General features: G+C 53.2%; 1 protein-coding gene across 68 annotated transcripts in view, besides 4 other annotated features; it reads right to left on the reverse strand.

Moving 5' to 3' along the window:
• Nucleotides 1-23,861, reverse strand: part of ANKMY1 (ankyrin repeat and MYND domain containing 1) — a 92,433-nt gene that overhangs the window by 22,504 nt on the left and 46,068 nt on the right. For 11 of the 68 annotated variants that reach the window (NR_171696.1, NR_171693.1, NM_001393464.1 and 8 more), the window contains 4 exons: nt 21,667-21,807; nt 16,425-16,556; nt 9,317-9,430; nt 8,823-8,988 (listed from right to left, as the gene is read on the reverse strand). Coding sequence is in view for 58 of the 68 variants with exons in the window: in NM_001393464.1 (NP_001380393.1) it covers nt 8,823-8,988; nt 9,317-9,430; nt 16,425-16,556; nt 21,667-21,807 (553 nt within the window). In the remaining 10 variants the exon portion in view is untranslated. Of the gene's footprint in view, nt 1-3,828; nt 6,303-6,359; nt 6,594-8,822; nt 8,989-9,316; nt 9,431-16,395; nt 16,557-18,212; nt 18,321-20,380; nt 20,485-20,725; nt 20,867-21,666; nt 21,808-23,861 lie in introns of those variants that run through there. The other 57 variants (NR_148697.3, XM_047444685.1, XM_047444650.1 and 54 more) reach the window with 21 other exon arrangements.
• Nucleotides 8,817-9,317: an enhancer, noted in NCBI's record as "H3K4me1 hESC enhancer chr2:241439369-241439869 (GRCh37/hg19 assembly coordinates)". NCBI's record gives its function as "activates a minimal SCP1, AML or CMV promoter by ChIP-STARR-seq in primed H9 embryonic stem cells {active_cell/tissue: H9 hESC(primed)}" and the evidence as "EXISTENCE:reporter gene assay evidence [ECO:0000049][PMID:30033119]".
• Nucleotides 12,907-13,407: an enhancer, noted in NCBI's record as "H3K4me1 hESC enhancer chr2:241443459-241443959 (GRCh37/hg19 assembly coordinates)". NCBI's record gives its function as "activates a minimal SCP1, AML or CMV promoter by ChIP-STARR-seq in primed H9 embryonic stem cells {active_cell/tissue: H9 hESC(primed)}" and the evidence as "EXISTENCE:reporter gene assay evidence [ECO:0000049][PMID:30033119]".
• Nucleotides 22,737-23,031: an enhancer, noted in NCBI's record as "tiled region #11390; HepG2 Activating DNase matched - State 12:CtcfO, and K562 Activating DNase unmatched - State 12:CtcfO". NCBI's record gives its function as "activates a minimal TATA promoter and a strong SV40 promoter by Sharpr-MPRA in HepG2 and K562 cells {active_cell/tissue: HepG2 | K562}" and the evidence as "EXISTENCE:reporter gene assay evidence [ECO:0000049][PMID:27701403]".
• Nucleotides 23,163-23,282: an enhancer, noted in NCBI's record as "active region_17396". NCBI's record gives its function as "activates an Ori minimal core promoter by ATAC-STARR-seq in GM12878 lymphoblastoid cells {active_cell/tissue: GM12878}" and the evidence as "EXISTENCE:reporter gene assay evidence [ECO:0000049][PMID:35858748]".

Here is a 23,861-nt window from a genome sequence, read left to right on the forward strand (position 1 = left end):
TCTGATATAAGTATACCTAGTTACTCCTGCTCACTATTGGTTTCTGTTTGCTTGGAATATATTTTTTCATCCCTTTATTTCAGTCTATATGTGTCTTTAATGATAAGGTGAGTTTCTTGTAAGCAGAATCATTTTTTGATCATGGATCATTTTTAATCCACTTAGCTATTCTAGCTTTTAAGAGGATAATTTAATTTGTTCATGTTCAAGGTTATTCTTGATATGTAAGGCTTTGTTCCCGTCATGTTGTTTTCTCATTGTTTCATATACTTCTTGTTCCTTTCTTATACTTTGGCATTGTGCTTTGGTGGATTTCTGTAGTGGTAGCATTTGAGTTCTTTCTCTTCCTCCTTTGTATAACTGCTTTGCCAGTGACTTTTATACTTTTGTGTGTTTTCATAATGGTAAATGTTGTCCTTTAGCTTCTATGTTTAGGACTCCCTTGAGCATTTGTAGAACTGGTCTAGTAGTAATGAATTACCTCACCATTTGTTTGTCCGGGGTGACTTTATATCTCCTTCATTTATGAAAGATAATTTTGCTGGATATAGTATTCTTGGGTGGCAGCGTTTTTTTTCTTTCAGCATGTTGAATATACCACCCCATTCTCTTATGGCCTGTAATGTTTCTGCTGAGAAATTTGTTAGTCTTAAGGAATTTCCTTTATGGGTGACTAGATGCTTTTCTCTTGCTGCTTTTAAGATTTTCTCTTTGACTTTAGACAGTCTGAGTATAATGTGCCATGCAGAAGATCTTTTATCATTGTATCTTCCTGTGGTTCATTTGAACTTCCTTTATCTGACTGTCTATATCTCTTCCTAGACTTGAGAAGTTTTCATCTATTATTTCATTAAATTAGTTTTCTTTTAAAAAAAAAAACTGATTTATTTTTAGAGATAGGGTCTTGCTCTGTCACCCAGGCTGGAGTGCAGTGGCACAATCCTAGCTCACAGTAACCTAAAACTCCTGGGCCCAGCCTCCCAAGCAGCTAGTACTACAGGTGCATGCCATGACACCCAGCTAATTTTTTTCTTTTTTGTAGAGATAGGGTCTTGCTATGTTGCCCAGGGTGGTCTCAAATTCCTGGCCTCAAGCAATCTTCCCACTTGGCCTCCCAAAGCACTGGTATTATAGGCATAAGCTACCACACCTGGCCCTACTTCATTAATACATTTTCTAATCCTTTGTTTCTTTGCCCTTAAGGATACCAATAATTTGCAAATTTAGTTGCTTTATGTTGTCGTAAATATCATGAAGCCTTTGCTTATTTGTTTTTATTCTTTTTTCTTTACCTTTGTCTGATTGGATTATTTCAAAAGACCTGTCTTCAAGTTTTGAGATTTCCTCTGTCTCATCTAGTCTATCGTTGATGCTTTCAAATGTATTTTGTATTTCCTTCCATGAATTCTTCAGTTCCAGAATTTCTGTTTGGTTATTTTTTAAAATGTCTCTTTGATAAATTTCTCATTCATATCCTGAATTGTTTTTCTAATTTATTTGTATTGTTTGTTCAGTATTCTCTTCTATTTCAGGTCCTTTTAAAATCAATTATTTTGAATTTTTTTTTAAATTTGAGACAGAGTCTCACTGTGTCGCCCAGACTGGAGTGCAGTGGCACGATCTCGGCTCACTGCAACCTCCGCCTCCCGGGTTCAAGCAATTCTCCTGCCTCAGCCTCGCTAGTGGCTGAGATTACAAGCATGCACCACCACACCCAGCTCATTTTTGTACTTTAGTAGAGACAAGGTTTCACCACGTTGGCCAGGCTGGTCTGGAACTCCTGACCTCAAGTGATCTGCCTGCCTCAGCCTCCCAATGTTGGGATTACAGGCGTGAGCCACCTCACCTGGCCTAAAAATCAGTATTTCAAATTCTTTATCTGAGATCTCAAAAGTTTCTTTTTGGTGACTGGGTGTGGTGGCTCACACCTGTAATCCCAACACTTTGGGAGGCTGAGGTGGGTGGATCATCAGGTCAGGAGTACGAGACCAGCCTGACCAATATGGTGAAATCCCATCTCTACTAAAAATACAAAAAAAAAATTAGCCAGGCATGGTGGTGCATGCCTGTAATCCCAGCTACTCAGGAGGCTAAGGCAGGAGAATCATTTGAACCCAGGAGGCAGAGGTTACAGTAAGCTGAGATTGTGCCACTGTACTCCAGCCTGGGTGACAGAGTGAGACTCCATCTCAAAAAAAAAATTCTTTTTGGTTAAGACCTATTGCTGGATAATTATGATATTCCTTTGAAGGTGTCATATTTCCTTGCTTTTTCATGTTTCCTGTGTCCTTATGTTGATATCTGTATGCCCTCTTTAACAGTTGCTTTTTCCTATTTTTATTTTTATAGGAGAGGACTTTCCTGAAGATGCATTTATGGTGTTGGTTGGGTAGGGTACTTTGGCTTTGCTTCTCAGCGTGTGCAGTAGTGTAGTCTCTGTGTGGTTTCTTTGGCTAGTATCTGTAGCCAAAGCATTGGTAGTATCTGTGATTTTCTTGGTGGGTTAGGGTGTGTTTATCAGTGGAGGCTGTGGCAAGGTTGTGTGCTAGGGCCTGGGATGCCAGGTAGGCCAATCTTCAGGCCCCAGAGGTGGCAAGGATGGGGTAGGCATGCCTATCTTTGTGCCCCAGAGTGGTGTACACTGGCACTTGTGTTGGCAACTACTGGCAGGTCAGTTCTTAGGGCTCCAAATGGCTTGTTTAGAATGCCAGCAGTGGCTGCAATGGAGTAGGTGGGCAGGCAAATTCTTGGATCCCTGGGCAGCTGAGCTGGCACAGCATGGGCAATGGCAATACCAATGGCATGAAAATTCTCTGGGTCCCAAACAGTGTGTACTGATGTTGGCGGCTGTGATGAGTTGGGTGGATCAGTCTCCAGGCCTGCAAGTGGTGCTGGCAGGTAGGTGCCAGCTGAGGTGGTGGTAGCAGGGAGGTTAGGTCCAACCTCAGGCCCCCAGGAGGAGTGCTCTGTCTTGAAGCCAGGCTGGGTGGGCTTGTGCTCAGGCCCCCCACTGGTGAAAGTAGGCACCAGCTGTTGTGAGTGGGCATGGAGTGATCTTCAGGCAGGTGGAGTGCTCAGGTGAGAGATGGTAGTATCCACACTGAGGCTCTGCTACTGGAGAGGGTGGGGCCAACTTTGGTGGCCACAGCCTGGACCAGTGGTGGAAAATGCATGTCTCCTTCATGCTCCAGCATCACTGGGTCTCACCCCTGCCACCCTGACTGCATCAGCCCATGCCCAGCTCACAACCAAGTCCCAGAAGCAACTCAAGCCCCACTTACATCCCTGTCTCAGATCACAGCAGTGCTCACTTCCCAGACCCAGCCACTGCCACTCAGGCCTTGCTCACTTCCTAGCCCCTACTGTGGGAGCATACCTGGCTTGCTCCCCTGTCCCAGCAGTGACAGCTTGAGTTTCCATAATACTCCACAGTCCCAGGGCCACTGGGTCCCAGGACAGCATGTAGTTTTCCAGAGGCTAGTTTTGAAAATGGTGACTTGCTGAGGCCACTTAGGTCTCAGAAAGGGTGTGGAACCCAGTGCAACCTTCCTTCCTGGAGCTCTTCCATCCCACAGTCTCCTGGAAGCTTCCTATATTCGCTTCAAGGGTTGGGAGGGTCAAGGGGTTGTCTTGCCAGGATTGCATGATTCCATGGTGAGGAAGTGGGCCATTAGAAATCTCCTACTTGTGGGTGGCAAGCCACCCAGGTGCCGAGGCAAGAGACAGAGGGCACAAGCTGTTCCAGTGTAATAAAACATATAAAATAACAAGAATTATACTAGATACAGATCATAGATATGATTATATATAAATATCATTAATCATTACTTGGTAGTAATTACTCTTTATTCCAATATTGTAATAATCCTCGATCTACAATCATAACCTAGAAAAAACGAGGCCATACAGAGATAGGAGCTGAGGGGACATGGTGAGAAGTGACCAGAAGACAAGTGTGAGCCTTCTGTTATGCCCGGACAGGGCCACCAGAGGGCTCCTTGGTCTAGCGGTAACACCAGTGTCTGGGAAGACGCCCGTTACCAAGCGGACCGTGGTCTAGCGGTAGTGTCAGTGCCAAGGAAAAGTACCCACTACTTAACAGACCGGGAAAGGTAAAGGGAGTCTCCCTTTCCCCAGAGGAGTTTAGAGAAGACTCTACTCCACCACCTCTTGTGGAGGGCCTGACTGATGTCAGGCCCGCCCACAGTTATCCGGAGGCCTAACCGTCTCCCTGTGATGCTGTGCTTCAGTGGTCACGCTCCTGGTCCACTTTCATGTTCCACCCTGTACACCTGGCTCTGCCTTCTAGATAGCAGTAGCAGAATTACTGAAAGTATTAAAAGTCTCTGAAATGCAGAAATAATGGCGTAAGCTGTCTCTCCTCTCTCTCTCCACCTCGGCTGCCAAACAGGGAAGGGTCCCCTGTCCAGTGGACATGTAACCCATGTGACCTTACCTATCATTGGAGATGGCTCACACTCCTTACCCTGCCCCCTTGTCTTGTATCCAATAAATAACAGCACAGTCTGGCATTCAGGGATGCTACCGGTCTCTACGTCTTGGTGGTAGTTGTCCCCCGGGCCCAGCTGTCTTTTATCTTTTTGTCTTGTGTCTTTATTTCTACAATCTCCTGTCTCCACACATGGGGAGAAAAACTCACAGACCCTGTAGGGCTGGCCCCTACACCTACTCACCTCTTCCCTATATTGGGAATTCACTCCTGATGCCCAGCCGAACCCAGCCAGAGAGGCTGCCTCTCCTCCTCCTTCCCCACTTTTGGTGTTCCCTGTCACTTCTCTGTTGAGTTCCAGCATTCTCTCTTGGATAATGTACTTTGAGTGTGACTGTCTGTACACTGCTCTGGTTCTACTAAGTGGAAGAAGTGGGCATGAAATGCTTATCAGCCATCTTGACCACCCTCCAACCAATTTCTTCTGATGAGATGCTGGCTAGCTGTTAATCTTACTGGGATTCCCTTGTAAATTTTGAGTTATTTTTCTCTTGCTGCTTTCAATGTTTTCCCCTTGTCTTTGACTTTCAGTATTTTAACTCTGATGTGTCTGTTTTACAAATCTCTGTTTTATCCTACTTGAAACTCCATTAAGCTTCCTAGATAGATAAATTATTTTTAAATATGTTTAGAAAGTTTTTATCTATCATTTCTCCAAATATTCTTCCTGCTTCTTTCTCTCTCACCTCTGCTTCTGGTACTCTAATTAGATAGATAGATAGATAGATAGATAGATAGATAGATAGATAGATAGATAGATAGATAGATGTGCTTGATGGTGTCCACTTTCCCCTGATGATCTCTTCATTTCTCATCATTCTTTTTTCTCTCTTAGTCTCCCACTTTTCTCTGAGGACATGTTCATTTTCCTTCATTCTTCTCCCTTGGGGCTGGATATTACTATCTGTTTGCTTATTTGGTTAATGACCAGCTGGGTTAATTGTGTGAAATCCATTTCTCCCCTGCATTATAAAGCTTCTGAGGTTCCTTCTCATGGAAGGCAGCCTTGGGTTTGTTCACAGTGACCCTAAGGTGACGGTGGTTTGGACAAGGATCTCTTTGACTGTCTCCTTCCATGACCAAACGCTCCTGTTTAGTTCTGATAATTGCTGGCTGATTGTTCATAATTTGCAACAGTGCCCTGGGGTATAAATGGCTTCCTAGACTGATCCAATTAGAATTCGATCAGAGCTCATTGAAGGGATAGTTCCAAAGGTCAGTATTGAAGATTGGTTCTGACTACAGGAGGGCTCTTCCCAGCTATCTTTCCTTATTTTTCTCTGGCATAATTTATAGTTAATACAAACCATGGTATATAATTGCTGGCAGATTATAGTTTCACCTATATTTCCAGTAAGTTTACCAATCTTCTTAATATTGCCCATCATAACCTCCAGTAATTCTGAGTGCACCACTTCCTGGCCATCTTGGAAGCTGAGGATAAGAATGGAGCCGCCACCTCCTCGCCATCTTGGAAGCTGAGCATAAGAATGGAGCCGCCACCTCCTCGCCATCTTGGAAGCTGAGCATAAGAATGGAGCCGCCACCTCCTCGCCATCTTGGAAGCTGAGGATAAGAATGGAGCTGCCACCTCCTCCCCATCTTGGAAGCTGAGCATAAGAATGGTGCCGCCACCTCCTGGCCATCTTGGAAGCACAGTAAGTCTGAAGCAACAGGAACTTAGCCTCAGCAACAGGTAGCTGGGGGCAGGATGAGAATTATTGACATCCATGCCCTCTTCTACTGTGTTCTTGGCTGTACTGGTCTGGAATAGAGTTTCTGCCTCCCTGAGCTGGGAGGGTGAAAAGGAAGGTAGACCTTGGTTTAATACCACAGACATTCTCTGTTCTTACTGAATTTTAAAAGATTTTATTGAATAAATGTTTCTTTGTATGCTGTGTGCTCTTTAGATCAGTCCTTGGGGTGTGTGAGACTTGTTATGACCACAGGAAGGCTTCTCCTGTCTCTCTTTTCTTAGTTTTCTCTAGCAATTAGCCAGTCTATAGTTTAGTCTGTTACTCCAGTGAATTTACCAATCTCCTTCCAAATGCCTCTCAACATTAGGCTTGAAACTGTCTTTGCTCTGTTAAAAATGAAATCGGTTTCTTTGTGATGAGGTGTGAAGCTCACTGTTTTATGGTGTGTCTCTCCCCTGGGCAAAAATCACTGAGCCAAGGCTGTGGAGCTGGGGGTCGGGACAATGGGATACTTCTCCGTAAGTGACACCTCCGTTTTAGGACCTAATCTCTGATGGAAAGGAGGAGGCAGTAGACATGGGTCTTCGCAACTTGCCTCTCCCTGCCTGGTCCTCCGCTCATGGGCCAGTACAAGCCTGATTAGAACCCCAGTATCCTCAGGGGTGTCATGCCCAAGGCAGAGCCTGTATCCCCCAAGTGGGGCTCTACACAAATGGAGGCCTCACCTTGCAGGAACCCTGGCCAGGAAGTAGCCTCAGCAAAGGTGCATTCATGTGTGCTGGTGGGCGAGCCAGGTGGGAAGAAGTTTATGTTTGTGTCGAGGGGAGGTTAGTATGTTTGTGTTGGGGGGGGACATATGGGAGTGGCTTGTGGCTGTGTGCATGTGTAAGGCATGGGTGGCAGTGGGTGAGTTGGTGAGGGCTGGGGTTGGATGGGGCAGGTGTTGGGGGTGGGGGGGGTTTATGCATGGGTGGGCACATGTGTGACGGCACATAAGTGAGTTTGGGAGGTGGGTGTGGGGTGTCCGTATGTGTGTGGAGATGTATGCAGATTGTGGTTGGGTGGGATGCGGGGAAGCAGTGTGCTGTGTGGGTGGGGACAGGCACGTGTGTGGGTAGGTGTGCAGACAGCTGTGGGGGTGGAGCTGAGGGGGGTGTGCGGGCAGCTGTGGGGGTGGAGCTGAGGGGGTGTGCGGGCAGCTGTGGGGGTGGAGCTGAGGGTTTCAGGGCGTGTGTCCTGAGGAGTATGCAAGCGTGTGGGTGGGCCTGTGGCTGGCTAAATATTTGTGGGGACACAAGCATGCCATGTAGTTTGGATGTGTGTCCCCTCCAAATCTCATGTTGAACTGTGGGCCCCCCTGTGGGAGGTGGGGCCTGGTAGGAGGTGACTAGATCGTGGAGATGGATCCCTCATGAGTAGCTTAGTGCCATCCCCTTGGGGACGAGTGAGTTCTCAGTTAGTTCACATGACAGCTGGGAGTTTAGAAGAGCCTGGGACACCCCCGCCTTCTCTCTCTCCCTCTCTCTCTTGCCATGTGATGGACAGGCTCCCCTTCGCCCTCCACTGGGAGTGGAAGCTCCCTGAGGTCTCTCCAGAAGCAGATGCTGGTACCGCACTTCCTGTGCAGCCTGCAGAACCACAAGCCTATTAAACCTCTTTTCTAATTACCCAGTCTCAGGTGTTCCTTTACAGCAACGCAAACGGACTAACAGCACGTGGAAGTGTGTGGGGCGGAGCACTGTGTGCTGGGAAGGCACCTGGGGTGTTGCTCAGTGGGGGACTGTGTGAGGCTGCAGGAGGCTACTGCATGCTGAGGGCTCGGTGTGGGGGCGGGATCAGCAGGTTCCGGTGTGTGTGTGCACACACGTGTTAACACGTGACAGGTTTTTATGTGAGGAGAGGATGGCTGTGGGTATCAGTGTGTGTGGATGTGTAAGTGGGTCTGTGTGTGCGAGGTAGACAAGAGTAGGTAAATGTGAGGGTGGGAACATGAGGGGGTATGTGGGGGTGGGGGTGAGTAGGTGGGTGGGGATGTGGGGGTAGGGAGTGACTATGTGGGGGTGGGGGTGACCAGGTGGGTGGGAGGTGGGTATGTGGGAGTGACTAGGTGGGTGGGGTTGAGTACGTGGGTGTGGGTACATGGGGGAGTAGATGTCAGTAGGTACTGCGTTTGTGGAGTGGGTGCATGTGGGGAGCTGGGGACATGTAGGGGTGTGCAGGATGCACCCTGTAGGGAGGGGTGTGACCATGCAGGGGAGCAGCACCCCAGGCCTCGGGCCCACAGTCCCTGTGCCGGATAGACTGGCACTCCTGACAGGGCTCCCGCAGCAGTGCCTAGTTCTCTCCTGGGCGTGGGGCCCCTCTGACCTGGGCCCTGGCCCTAGGCCACCAACTCCTCTTCCCAGGGACATCTCCCCAGTCCAGACCCCACTTCTCAGTCTCTCCTGGACGAGCTCCTTGGACGACGGGACACAAAGGGGACAAGCCGACGAGCCCAGCCCCAGGAAGGCCCCTCCAAGAGCCCCAGGGGGTCCAGATCTCCAGGGATAACAGCCCCAGGCACGAGGCCGGAACGCCGCCCTGTGGAGCAGAGCAGAGCAGGGCCCACTGCTCACCTCTCTTGCACAGGTACAGCCACGTGGGGTCCCACTGGCTCTCCTTGGCAAAGACAGCCTGCCGTAGCTGCAAGCCCATGTACTCCAGGAGCCGCTTCCGCGCCAGGAACGTCTCGCGCTCTGCTGGCATCAGCGTGTGGAAGGGGCAGCGGGCAATCCTCCGGTCCTGCGGCACAGCACCAGGGTCACCACAGGGTCCCGGGCCCGCCCCTCACTGCTGGGGTGACTCTCGGTGATCGAGGGCTCCTGTCAGCTCTTGTGATATATAACTGAGGACGAACCCAGACAGACACACAAAGCTGGGAGCACATACAGCTGCACCTGGCATGAGCTCAGCACTTTGGGGGGTTCACCTCTGCAGCCAAGGGGCTGCTCTGGGGGCGGCGCTAGGAACCTTGAGCCCAGCTTTGCCCCAGAGAAGCTAATGCCCCAGCCGGGGGCCCTGCACGTGACCCACACTCCCCCTCCTTCCTCATGGGAGGCTCACCACCTACCTGGAAGAATCTGAAGTAGCCATAGTCCACGGCTGTGCCCACTGCCTCCTTTTCTCCCTGCCTGAGCATTACAGGCTTCAGGATGTCGGCCCCGTGACTGATGAGTCGGTCAATCTGTGGAGAACAGAACCAGGTCAAACACGCAAGGACATCCCGGCTACTGGGAGCAGCGGAAGCACCGCCTGAGAAGGGCCATGGTCACCTGCAGTCCCCACCAAGGCCGCCCTTGCAGTGTGCGGGAATGCCCATGAGACAAACGGGGAGAGGGAGATGGAGACGGGGCTGACCTCAAGGACAAGGAGTTGGGGCTGAGCCTCGCCCTAATGATGTCACAGCGAAGTCAAGGCTAGGCCACGCCTCGGGGAGCCCTCCCTGGCACCCGACTCCCAGCACCATAGAATCGACAGAGTCTGTGACATCCATTACAGTCCTGCTCCCCTCAGGCTGTCAGTGACATGAGGCAGACACCGGGCAGCTCTTGTTCTTCATCAGATCCCAACACGCCAGGGGGCATGTTGCTCAACAAGACAGCGAGTGCACGCGTATGCTTGTATGTAGATGTGTGTGGGGCGGGGGGCCAGTGTGTGTGCATGCATGGGTATGTGTATGTGTGTTCATGGGTGGCTGGGTGTGTGCCTGCGTGTATGTGGGTGTGTGGATATGTGTGTGTGTGTGCAGGTGTGGGGCTAGTGGGTGAGCGTGTGTGGATATGTGCATGCATGTTCATAGGTGGGTAGGTGTGCAGTATGTGTGCGTGCATGCGTGTCTGTGCATGAGTGGGGGCCAGTGTGTGTGCATGTATGAGTAAGGGCATGCATGTGTGTTTGTGAGTGAGTGCAAGTATGCCTGACAAATGTGTGAATGCATGCACCTATGTGCATGTGTGCCTGACTTGTGGCAAATATACCACAGCAATGGTCTCTGGCTCAATAGGTACAACAATCCCATCCAAAGCAAATATCATCTAAAGAGGCTGCCCCACCTGACATGGGAGGAGGCAAGTTCTATCAGGGGGCCTGGCAGGCTCAGGGCAGCCTGTGTGAGTGGATGGAAACCAGGCCATCATCTGTGGAAGGCTCACTGCTGTGTGCGTGTGTGCCTTGCTAGCCAAGTGCAAGCACGGCCAGAAATCAGGGATACACAACTCCCCCAGTGAGATCCTCACACTCTGTGACATGCGTAACACACATTCCACGCAAACACTGGAGCCCTGCATTCTCAGCAACACATGAGCACAACGCCTCGGGCATGGCACCAGGCACAGTGCGGGACGGTGGAATGGCCAATGCCACCAACACTAGTGGCCAGCCTGGCCTGAACGGCTGACTCCCTGGCACATGGGGGCATGGGTGGAGTTTATACAGATTCCTCAAGGCCAAGTGAGGCCAGGCAAGGCCTACGCCAGGCAGAGGAGGAGGCTGCTTTCCACTGCTCCTGAGGATGGAGCCAGCCAGATCCACCCATGAGACCCCCATCGTCTTCACTCTCCTTCCTGCGGAAGCCATGATAACTTGCCAAAAGTCCCATGAGTCGGTTCCCTGCTGGACATCCCTCCGAGGCCCCACCACCTCATCAAATCTTTTTCAGGAAAAGGTGGGCAGATGGTTGGTAAGCGAGGGCTGGGTACAGGCTGCCACAGGGGTGTGGTGATGGACAGGTGGGTGGATGATGGATCGACCTTTCCCTGCCCAATGTTGCTGGGGGACTTGCCAGCCCACCCCCACCCCCCAAGTCTTGTCTACGTAGGGCACCCAGGCCTCACTCAGTCCTGGCACCGGGACGGCTTCTCTGGACAGCTCTGCCAGGGCAGTGATGCAGCCACCTACCCCACCCCACCCCCAGGCTCCCAGGACTGGCTACTCAGCAGCACCTGGGATTCACCTCTTAGTCTCACCCTGCTGGGCACCTTCTCCCCTCTGGCCCAACATCTCAGCAGAAGCCTCTGCCCAAACATCATTCCTGGGAACCTCTGCATCCCCACAGCTCCCACGTCTCCACAGACCCTTCCACACTGACCCCAACCCCTGGGAGTCACTGGGGACAGCCAGCCCCAGCAGGGTATGCAGTGTGTGCTTTGGCCTGAGGCTTTCTCGCCCCAGGTCCCATGTCCTCACCCCTTCCTCCCCAACCACAGCCCCTCCCCATCTGCTGACCTGCCCGTCGCTCACCAGGAGTGTCTTCCCACCCTGGCCCTGGCTGCCCAGAGTGACCACCTCATCCACGGTGAGAACTGAGATACACTTTGCTGTCCCAGTGCTATACCATTCACTCACCAACGCTCTCCTCCAGACCCTCCCCTCCCAAGCCCCCACATCTGAACTATGACATCACTGCATCCGCCCCTCACTCACCAACACTCTCCTCCAGACCCTCCCCTCCCAAGCCCCCACATCTGAACTATGACATCATTGCCTCCGCCCTACACCCCCAGGCCCCCTGCCCCACCTCCACGGCCCAATGACCCCGTTCCCCTGCTGAGGCTCCCCAGGCATGCCCTCGGCTGCAGCTGGATGAGCTGGCCCCTCCATCCCCAGAGCCCGTCTCTCCAGTGGCCCTGTCCTCCACACCTCTTTAGACCCCAGCAGCATCAGCACACTCTAGAAACCAGCCCTGCCCAGGGGCTCTGCCTCTGAGACCACAAACCCTGCTGAACGGCACCGGGAGGGAAGGCTGGGACCTTTCCGGTAAGAGGAAGGGGCGGCCTGAGGCTGACCAGCCCAGCGTGTGTCTCTGAGGAGTTTCTCAGGATCAGTGGGCTTGAACATGGATCTTTCAGTGGGATTTGCTCTGCTCTCAAATTAGGGAAATTTGGGGCCCCATATCTCAGCAGAGGCTGCCCAGTGAGAGGAGCTAGAAATGTTCGTGAGAAGAGGATTTTGTCCCCCTGGAGGGGACTTTCTGAAGGTCCCCTGGCTGATGAAAGCTCCTTTCTGCAGTGGCTTTTCTCCAGACACTGCTAACCCATGTTCTGGCAGCCCCTTCCTTGGCCGTTCAAAGACAAATGTGGAACCCATGCCTGGTGCTGCAGCCATCCAAATGGCGGGGCCCAGGGAGTCAGGGGGGCCCAGGGTCAAGGTTCGAGCTTCACGCGTTCATTTCTGGGACAATCTTTAGAAAGTTTAGTGTGAGAATATTCAGGAGGCCTGGTGACCCCAGACCCTGAACAAGCTCCACCTCAGGCCTGTGCATCCCACAAGCTCACCATGGGCCGAGGCCAAGAACAGTAGCCAAGGAGAAAGGAGAAGAGGACTGAAAACGCCGAAGCCATGTGTGGTGGGTTCACCTGGGTCCCCTAAAAAGGTAAGTTGAAGTCCTAAACCCCGGGATCTGTGAACGTGACTTTATTTGGACATAGGGTCGTTGCAGACGATCAAAGTAACATGAGGTCCTTAGGGTGGTACCTGGTCCAATATGACCATTGTCTTTTAAGAAGGGACTTTTGGCTGCAGAGACAGACATGCATGCAGGCAGAGCACCATGAGCTGAGGAGGGCAGAGGTGGCCACCAAGCCCCCAGAAGCCACAGCGAGGTCTGCACCAGGGTCACAACCCTGCAACACCTCGATCGCGGCCTCCATCCTCCAGGACCAGAGCCAGCTCATTTCTGTGGCTTCAGCCGCCCAGGCTATGGTCTGCTGCAGCAGCCACAGGAGTGCCCAGAGGAAGAGCCCCTGAAACAAGGTTCTGCCACAGCCTGAACAGCAAGACGTGGTGGGAGATGGAGGCTTCGCCAGGACCCAGGCAGCCCAGGCCTCTAGCAGAAGGGTCCTGCAGCACCATCATTTATGTATACCCCCAAGCCAGGGCACCCCTAGGGTTTCAGGGACTCTCTGGACTCAGATCCCATGAAACCATCATAGAGAAAAGCACCAGATTCTCCAGGAGGCTACGGAAAAGTATTCGTGAAAGGTCCTAGCTGAAACTATAAAACTCTTAGAAGAAAACACAGGAAGAAGCTTCATGACGTTTCTTGGCTATGACACCAAAGGCAAAGGCAACAAAAGAAAAAATAGACAAGCTGGACTTCATGAAAATTAAAAACTTTTGTATATCAAAATATTTATAAATTACATACCCGATAAGGGATTAACATCTAGAATAGATAGAAATGTCCTAAAACTCAATAATATTAAAAAAAAAGATTCAAAAATTGCCAAAGGAGTTGAATAGACATTTCTCCAAATAAGATATAGAAATGGCCAATAAGCACATGAAAAGATGTCCAACATCACTAATCATTAGGGAAATACGAATCAACAAAACCACAATGAGAAGGCCGGGTGTGGTGGCTCACGCCTGTAATCCCAGCACTTTGGGAGGCCAAGACAGGTGGATCGCTTGAGGCCAGGAGTTCGAGACCAGCCTGGCCAACATGGCGAAACCCCATCTCTACTAAAAATACAAAAATTGGCTGGGTGTGGTGGTGGGCGCCTGTAATCCCAACAAGAATCACTTGAACCCGGGAGGTAGAGGTTGCAGTGAGCAGAGATCACATCACTGCACTCCTGCCTGGGCGACAGAGTGAGACTCTGTTAAACACACACACACACATACACACAATAAAATACCATCTCGCATCCATTAGGATGGCTACTATCAAAAAAACAGAAAATAACAAGTCTTGGTGATAGTCTGGAGTGACTGGAACTCTGTGCACTGTTGGTGAGAACATGAAACAGTGCAGCTGCCGTGGAAATAGTATGGAGGTTCTTCAAAACATTAAACGTATGGCCGGGCGCGGTGGCTCAGGCCTGTAATCCCAGCACTTTGGGAGGCTGAGGCGGGCGGATCACCTGAGGTCAGGAGTTCAAGACCAGCCTGACCAACATAGTGAAATCCCGTCTCTACTAAAAATATAAAAATCAGCCGGGTGTGGTGGCGCACACCTGTAATCCCAGCTACTCGGGAGGGTGAGGCAGGAGGATTGCTTGAACCTGAGAGGCGGAGGTTGCAATGAGCTGAGATCACACCTCTGCACTCCAGCCTGGGTAACAGAGTGAGACTCTGACTCAAAAAAAAAAAAAATTAAACATAGAATGATTATACCATAGGACCCAGCCATCCCACTTCCAGGCAAGTTCCCAGAAGAACTGAAAGCAGGCTCTTGAAGAGAAACGTGTCCATTGGCTGAGGGGGAGGGCAGGGGAGACAGAGACAGAGACAGACAGGGCCAGAGTTGGGGGCATGGTCAGGTACTCAGAAGTGGTGAGTCTAGGTGAGGGCTCAGGGTGTCCTTGTACTGCTTTCAACTTTTCTGTGAGTCTGAAAAGAATTAAAATTAGTAAATAAACAAACAGTAATGAAATAAAGAAGTCGAAGCCCAGTCAGCTGATTTCAGGTCTGGGGTGAGAATATACGTGGTATGTAGGGGTCACCTGGATGCCCCAGAAAGCCAGGCAGGAGTCAGGGCCAGGATCACAGCAAAGGACCAGGAATCAGCTCACAGCACACAACAGTCAGAGATGAGACCATTTAAGGGAGGTTTAAAAAAAGGAGCCCTTCCCCTTCCTAAATATCCAGTGGAAGCAGACAGCATGGTTAGGGTTGGCAGCACTACCAGGTTCCCTAACCCCGGATGAGGCACCGGGGAGCCTCCTAACCCCGGACAAGATGCTGGGGAGCCCCCTAACCCTGGACGAGGTGCTGGGGAGCCCCCAACCCTGGACAAGTCGCTGGGAAGCCCCCTAACCCCGGATGAGGCGCTGGGAGCCCCCAACCCCGGACGAAGGACTATTCTGTATGTTCAAGGCACATTCAGCGTCCACACACAACAACGCTGCCCCCTGAGCTGCCTCTCCCGTCTCGCGTCCTTTCTCTATTTACTCAGACTTAGATGAACAAGAGACTGGTCATCAATCCTGGGCCCTATGAAGCTCCGAAAGAACATTAGGGGGCCCCTCCCAGCCCCCAGGTCCAGAAATGGTGCCGACTACCCACACACACTGTTTCATTCCATCCTCTGCCGCCTATGGAAAACTGACTTCTGCGTCCTCACTTAGTCTATCCAGACAGAACAGGGTCTTAGGAAGAAGGACAGGAGACTTAAAATCAGATCTGGAAACAGCATCTCAAGATAAGTCTCAGTTCTTTTAAGTAAAGCTACCCTTTTGTGACGTCAAACAACCTTCCAGACGCCTGAGTCTCGCCCTTCCCCTTCCAAATGCCTGGGTCTCGCCCCCCATTCCAGACGCCTGAGTCTCACCCCCCTCCTCCTTCCCCCTTTTTCTCCCTCAGACAGGTAAGAACCAAAGTGTGTACCAAGATGGATTGAGGAAAGCAAGGTCGTGGGTGGTGCCCACAGCGGACACAGGAAGGGCTGGCATGGGCGGAGGGCAGCAGGCAGCAGGGCACAGAGGGAGGCCCTGCCTGAGCCAAAGCCACTGAGAGTTTCCCAGAGCCACATGGGAGGGACACTCCAGGGACGTGCCTAGGGCTCAGGACAGAAGGTGTCTCCAGCGCGGGCAGGATTTCCCGACTGTGAGCTTCCACCTAAGAAAGCCGCTCCCTGTGGCCAGGAGACAATGCCCCAAACCCCCGCCCAGCAGCTGCGTGGACCACTGAGAAAGCCAGAATTGTGCAGCTGGACCAAGGTGAGGTCTATGTCTATCCTGAATCTTGTTTTCACCGAGACAAATTTCAGGGAACTTTTTTGTCTGGTCTGCTGAGTGGATTTGCCACTTCATATTTTTTAAGGCCTGTAAAATACTAAAAGCAGACAATATTTTGTCCTTTCTCCACTATTTAGACCACCAAGGCTTGGAGAACACAGAACAAATGACCCACCGCCCGCCAGGAATGACAGCCAGGCAGAGAAGTCCATGAGGACCCCACCCCCAGACCCCACATTCCCCATGCTCAGGGCCAGCCCACCTCACACTCCTCCCTCCCCTCACCCAGGGCCACCCCAACCTCCCGCCCCCCCTCACCAGGGCTACCCAGCCCTCACACCCCTGCCACCCAGGGCCACCCAGCCCTTATACCCCTCACCCAGGGCCACCCACTCCCCTCCCCGCTCATCAGGGCCACCCAGCCCTCACACCCCTCACTCAGGGCCACCCCACCACCCTCAAACCCCCTCACCAGGGCCACCCCAGCCTCCTGCCCCTCACCAGGGCCAGCTTGCTGTCCATGTTCCTCTGGTGCTCGTAGGTCAGGTCACAGGCAACACACAGGGCACTGCCCAAGCCTTTGGTCAGGGGCAGGTTGGGGTCAGCTCCCTGGGTCAGGAGCTCCTTCACAACCTGAACATACACAGACAGTCTCATCAGTGGCCACCATGTCACTTCCCCTGACAGAGGGGAAGGCCCCAGGGCTGGGCCACTCCAGAACTAACCCCTGAAAGCAGGGGCTTCACGGAGGCCACCGCTGGCCCTTCCCACGGATCCTACCCACAGTGGGTCCCGCTGCTGGCCTGTCCCACAGAGGATGATGCTGGGCGGGGAGGGGTCCCATGGCTGGTCTGTTAGGGAGGAGCTGGAACTCCACCCAGGTGGGCCAGTTCCAGCACTTTCTCTGTCCCCTGACAAAATGGGGATTCTCCAGCGTGGTTCCCAGCTCCCACCTTGCTCTTCAGCCCCAGACAGAGCCAAGCCCAGGGGCCAGTCCCAGCACAGGGTTAGGAGCACATTTGCCTGGTGCCCAGGCTATCTGCCTCTGCACCGGGGCACCAGTGTCAATGTGACCACTCGGCCAGGCACAGAAAGAGGCACACCTCCCTTCTCCCTGCTGTGTGCCCAGCCGCCAGCTCAGATTCCACCCAGGAAGAAGGACAGCCGTGGCCAGACACGGGTCCTTAGTGTTTGGCTCTCACAAGCTTCTGCCCCTCAGAACAAAGCTCTCTTCCCTCCACACCCCTGCCTCTAACAGGGCCTAGCCCTGAGCAGGGGCCCCACATGACTTATTGAATGGATGACTCCGTGCAGGAGAGAAGAAAGCAGGGAGCAGAGGTGCTGGCCTCTGCAGAAGCACCTGGAAGCCCCATTCTACGTCAGCTTTCACAAATTCTATGAATGCCTTCAGCTTTTGCAGACCTCTGCTGAAATGTCACCTCATCTGAGAAGCATTTCATGCCACCCTGCTAAAGTAGCCTGCCTTCCCATCACTCTCCATCCCCTCACTAAGCTTTATTTTCTTTATAATACTTGTCATTTCCTGAAACTGTGTTACATACTAGTTTATGGCCTGGCTCCTCCAACGAGAATATAGGATCCTTGAGAGCAGAGACTGTTTAATTCAACACCTAGTGCCTAGAATGGTGCCTGCCAGGTACGTAGCAGATGCTCAGTAAATAACAGTTAAATGATAGATGGATGAATGAATGAATGAATGAATGAATGGGTGGACGGTAGATCCTTCCAACTGGGTGAATGAAGGATGATGATGTCTAGGTAGGTGGGTGGGTGGGTGGATGGATGAATGGATGGATGGATGGATGGACAGACGGATGGGTGAATAGGTGAATGAATGGATGGGTGAACGGTTGAGTGGATAGGTAGTTGGGTTGATACATGAGTGACTGGTTAAAAGGATGGATGTATAGATGGATGGATGAGAGGATGAATAAGTGGGTGGGTAGTTGGGTGGAAGGATGGATGAATGGATGAGTGGAGGGTAGATGGATGGGTGAGTAGATGGATAAGTGGATGAGAAGTTGGGTGGACAGGTGGATGGATGGATGGAAGAATGGGTGGATGGGTAGACAGGTGAGTGGAAGAGTGAGTGAATGGGTAGTTGGGTGGATAGATGGGTGGGTGAGTGGATGGGTGGATGGATGAATGGATGGATGGATGGATGGATAAATGGCCAACAACTTCAAATCCCAATGACGGACTGGTGGGGTGGGCACTGGAGACGGAAACACATAGGTGCACAGGTCTGTGGGTACAGAACATGCTCACCAGCTCATTCCCACTGGCAATGGACAGGGAGAGCGGGGAGTGGCCACTCCACAGCAGGTTAGGATTTGCTCCGTGGGATAGAAGGAGCCGGACTATGTCCCTGGCACACTGGGTGGGGAGAAATGACAGGTTAGAGAGGCACCCCCACCCATAAGCAGCACCTGATGGTAGTCATTAATTTAAATGCCATGAAATCAATGTAGTCACTCAACGGCTACTTCCTGCCAACCATTACCTTGCCTGACACAAGGTGTTCAAAATTGTGGATGCATAGATGGATAGGTGAATGGGTTGGGAGGTGGATGGATCTTCAAATGGAGAAGATATTTTCTAAGCATTCATCACTTCCAAATGAAAAGTAGGAGGACATTGATGCATAAGTTGATTTAAAGTTTGTTTTCAGAGGACAAGGGACAGTCCAGACCACATGACCACGTGGCAGGTCCTGGCATACAGCAGGTGTGACTGGAGGAGCACCTCCTCCACCAGGGCTCAGTGATCGTAGAGGACGGCCTGAGTGTAAAGAGCCCCACCCTCGGCTGGTGGAGCACTCTCTGCACCAGGAGGGCAGCCCCGTCCATGCCTCCCTGCCCTCCTCCCCCATCCATGCCCTCCCTGCCTCCCTGACTCCTCCCCTGTCCCTGCCCTTTGTGCCTCCCTGTCCTCCTCCCCCGTCCCTGTCCTCCCTTCCTATCTCCCTGCTCTCCTTCCCCATTCTTGCCCTCCCTGCCTCCCTGCCCCCCTGCTTCCCTGCCTCCTTGCCCTTGTCTTCCCATCCTTGCCCTCCCTGCCCTCCTCCCCAATCCGTGCCCTCCCTGCCCTCCTCCCCCAGTCCTTGCCCTCCCTGCCCTCCTCCCTAGTCCGTGCCCTCCCTGCCTCCCTGCCCTCCTCCCTACATCCTTGCCCTTCCTGCCTCCCTGCCTCCTGCCCTCCTCCCCACATCCTTGCCCTTCCTGCCTCCCTGCCTCCTGCCCTCCTCCCCCGTCCCTGCCCTTCCCGCCTCCCTGACTCCTCCCTGGGAACCCCTCTGTTTTCCTGTCCATTCTCTCATCCTTGCTCCCCTGTCAGAACGTCCCATTGTGCAATCCTCAGCTGCTCCCTTCTCTTCCTCCTCTTCTCCCAGAAGTGTTCACTAGGACCTGACCTCTGCGACTCCTCCTCCCCCACTGCAGGGACTCTTCTCTGGCCCAGCTCCCTATCCCAGTGCTCTGCTGGGACTGTGCCCCTCAGATGCGGCAGACCCTGTGTCTGGCTGGCCCAACCACCATGCACACTCCCCTTTCCCGCAGTCTTGCTGGCCAGGCCAAGGAGGTGCCCACAGAAGTCTGCTGAGGGGCTCCTGGGAAAGGGACCCCTTTCCCCTCCCTTCTGGGATACAGATGTGATGGCTGGACTGCTGCAGCCGTCACGCCTGCAGCACTGAAGTTCCACCTGCCAGTCTGTCCTGTACCCAATGATAGTGTCACATTCAGTGTCTCCTTTTATTTCCCCACAACTTTCCCAATCTGTCATCAGGACACAAGTGTGCGAACAGAAAGCCCTGTGTTCACTGCCCAGGCCTCGTCCTTCACGGTGGGAGCCTTGACCAGCCGCCTTCCTGGAGCCTCACTGTTCATTCCTAACGTGAGTTCCTGCCACCCTTCAGGTGGTCTACTCAGGGCAGAGCGCCTGGCCCCAAGAAGACCCAACAGACCTGCTCCTTCTCCCTACCCTCCAAGGAGGCTCTGACCAGACAGGGATGTTCTGAAGCAGGGAGGCCTGTCAGTGCCCCCACCTCCCCACCTCCCTGTCTGCCCATCCCCATCCCAGTGTCACCCGCATGCCCACTAGCACACATGGCACTCCTGCACACTCATCCTCACGCTCATGTCAGGACCACACAAGTTACCACCTTGCTGAAGGCCCAGGATCATTAATTTCATTTGTAAGTGGGTAAACTGAGGCTCGGTGTGCCATGTGCTCCGTGGCCAACTGGCTTGGGCTGCATCTGCTGCCACACGGCAAAGCTGAGACTTGGCCTCAGTTTCCCCGCATCCACCCCAGCCGCTGGGCATCCTCGGAGTGGTTCCCACACCCAATTTGGTAGGAATTAACCCTCGAGGCAGGCAGGAGGCAGCGGCCACAGGGCCAAAGGGGCACCGCCCAGGGCTCTGGAAGATAAGACCAACCCTGAGGTCCTGAGTCAGAGACACATGAGGATGACAGAGGAGGGTCAGCAGCACCAGACGGTCACAGCCCAGGCCAGAGGCTCCCAAACACGTCTGACCAGGCCCTGTGGTAAGAAGTAGACTTCATGCCGCCACCCAGGCCCCGTGCGCAGGCGTGCGTGTGTGCATGTGAGTGGGAAATCCCGTCCTCCCGCCTTGCCTTGCTTCCCTCCCCATCCTTCCAAGCTCCCTGGCTTCTGCCTAAGACTCAGCATGAGAACACATGCTTCCGGGGGCACAAGGCCCTGGAAGGTGGCCCCACCGCTGGGCAGCCCTGTGCCCCCGCCAGGCCCTGGCTGCCCTCACCTTGTTGTCATCCTCCCGCTCGCAGGCCATGTGCAGAGCCGTCCTGCCCCCCTCCTCCGGGAGGGCTGTGTCCGTGCTGTAGTAGGCTTGGGGAGGGCCTGGCTCATTGCTGAGCTTCAGACTTGAGGGCAGCAGGTCCAGCTGTGTAAAACGGAGGGCTCCGCCAGCGCCCACGGACCTGCCGTGTGCCCACGGGAAGGCAAACGGAGCAAGGGAGCTTCCTCCCCAGCCTGCGGGTCTGGAGTCTCACCCTGCGAAACCCTCTTGAAGGCGGATGCCTGACTTTGTTCGAGCCTCTCCCTGCATGCCTGTCTCTGAGACACCCCAACATCCACAGAGGTCAGAGCCATTCTGTGCCCTCCCCTCCCACGTCCCCCACGCAGTGGGTGAGCTGCGCACACCATGTCCAGCATGTTCGTGCGCTCAATGGCTCCTGCTGTGTGCTGGCGACTGAAAGCCTCAGAGCTCCTGCCCTCAAGGGGCTCAACCCCTTGTGGAGGAAGGAAGACATGGCCTTGCGGCCCATGACTGGGGGTCTTTTGGAGCTTGGCAGGGCCTGGTGGGACAGGATGGCTTCGGCCTGGAGGAGGCCCTGGGGACATGGAACTGGCCTCTGTCTGCAATTATGAACCTTCGGAAAGGCGTGAGATGGAGTTACCTGCAAAAGGTCCGCATGGGGACCCCCACGCCCTGTGGACTGCCTGAATAATCAAGTTCTTAACTCATTCCAATCAACAATTTTTGCCTCTTGATATCAAAACAAGCCCACTGGCTAAGGTTCTCATCTGGACGGGTTGTTTCTATGCAGGATTTCCACTGCCCAGGCCCCAAGCCAGGAGGCCCATCATGCTCGGCAAGCACAGGCTAGGCAGAGTGTGTGAATCCATCCAGGCACACCTGGCCAAGGCCCCATACCCCTATCCAGGTCGCGAGGTACACACCTTGCCGGGCTTGTAAGTGTCGTCCTCGTCGGATGCCTTGGCGTCCACATCGGTGATGGCATGCAACAGCAGCTCCACAATCTGTACCCCCTCCTCCCCAGGAAGGGCGGCAGCGATGTGGAGTGGTGTCAGGGTGCTCAGCTGCAGAGGAAACACCGGGGCGGGCAGTGAGGCACATTCTCGTAGGGAGAGACAGGTGAGGTACCTGAGGGACCCAAATGCCAGGGAAATGGCTGAGACTCCAAGGGCACCATTCTCAGCCTCACCTGCCTCACAACGTGCAGGCTACTGGTCCCTGAAGGCAGTGTGGGCAAACTCCCAACACGCTGAGCAAGACATACATGTTGCTTCCAATGCCTAATATGCCTCTGTCTGCCAGGGCCACAGGTAGGAAGGCCCACCCTGAACCAGTGTGATTTTAAGCCACTGTCCACAACTTCCTCTAAGAAAAGCCTCTCCCTGCCCTGCCAGGCCCACCACATTAACAGCCGTGCAGCTCCTGAGTGGCCTCCTGACTCCAGCCCCTGACCTGTCCATTCTCCACTCACAGTGTCCCCAGCCATCAGCTGACAGCATCCATAGAGGCCACTGCTGTGCAGCAGTGACGCAGAGGTGTTCACAGGGGCCCTGGCCTCTGGAGGCAGCCCTGCCGTCCTAAGGGAGAGCCCGGCTGAGAATGGACAGTGGGCTTTGGGTCAAGAGATGCTCCCCAGTCCCTTAAAGACCAGCCTCGCTCCAACAGGAAAGAGAAAAGAACCCAGGAGGGACCCCTGAGGGGGAGACAGGTGAGCCTGGATGGTGGGAAGAGCCACCAGCATGAGGACCAGCCACAGGAACTTGGGGAGAGCAGCCGGGTGTGCCCATGCATGCCCATCCACCGGTGACCAAGGGACATGGCACCTGAGGCAGAGGGCAGGGCAGGTTCCAGGCAGCTGCTGACTCCCAGGAGGAGCAGTACTATCCCAGCTTGACAGCAGCCCCTGCGACCTCCACACAGCCCAACACCCACAGCCTCAAGCATGACCAGGGCCAGCAGCGTCCATACCCAGCAGAGGCATGCAGTGAGAGGACAGAAAAGAGAATATAATGCAGGCATCGCCTGATGTTGGGGAGGCCGGTGCTGCAGGCAACAATCTACTGACCCCAGAGGGACGCAGACCCAAGCAGGCAAGTGGAGAATGGGCAGCCCGCTGCTCCATGGTAACCACAGCCCAGGCCACCAGGAGGCGCACGGGGCCGTGCATCTACAACAGTCAGCCGGAGGCCACACCCTCCTTACATGTTATGTCACCCCTAAAACAGCAGCAGCAACAGCAATAACTGAGCTAATAACAGAACCAACCCAGCTGAGGGGTGAATCAGGAAATGATTAAGCTGAGGAAATTCCCCAAAACAGCAGAAGCACAAAGACATATAAAGCACTCCAAAACAAAATCAGGGTACATGAGAGAGAGAGCTGGGGTTCTAACGTCTCTCAGGTAGGAGCTCCAGGCCAGTAGGGAGAGCACAATAGAGAGAAATACTAGAGAAATAATGCAAGAAAATTTCACAGACCCACAGCTCTGACCCAGTGCTAAGGTGACTTAATAAGGAGGGAGGGAATTAACCCTTACACAGACACAGGAGGCAGGGGGGCATCACACTTCTCATTAAGTCCCACGAGTCCCAGAAGGACAGAAGACAGTGAGACAGGACCTTCAAAGGTCTAAGGGAAAACAGTTTGGAACCAGAATTCTGTATCTAGCTAATCTATTATTCAATCAAGAGGGTAACATGGTGACATTTTCAGTAACATGAGGGCTCAGTTTCCCACCACGGATCCTCTCCACGAGGATGTCCAATGACACTCTGCAGAGAGCACAGAAGGAATCCAAGAGGAAGCTGCAAGGTGCAAAATGCATTGAAGAGCAAAGAAACCCCTGGACTACTGCCAGGTCCAGGTGAGACTGGCAGTTAGAGTGGGACTTGAAGCCACAACTGCGCAGCATGGTGGAGGGAGGCAACCCCGAGAGTCCCATTCCTCCTGGGAGTCAGCAGCTGCCTGGAACCTGCCCTGCCCTCTGCCTCAGATGCCCCAGCCACCTCCCTGGGTTACCAGTGGATGGGCATGCATGGGCATGAGCACTGGGACTTGTGTCTGCCACAGTGCTGATGTTCTGCTCTTGCTGGTCTTCAGACCTGGGAGAAGGTGTCAA

Source organism: Homo sapiens, chromosome 2, assembly GCF_000001405.40.
Source record: "Homo sapiens chromosome 2, GRCh38.p14 Primary Assembly".
Lineage (NCBI taxonomy): Eukaryota > Metazoa > Chordata > Mammalia > Primates > Hominidae > Homo > Homo sapiens.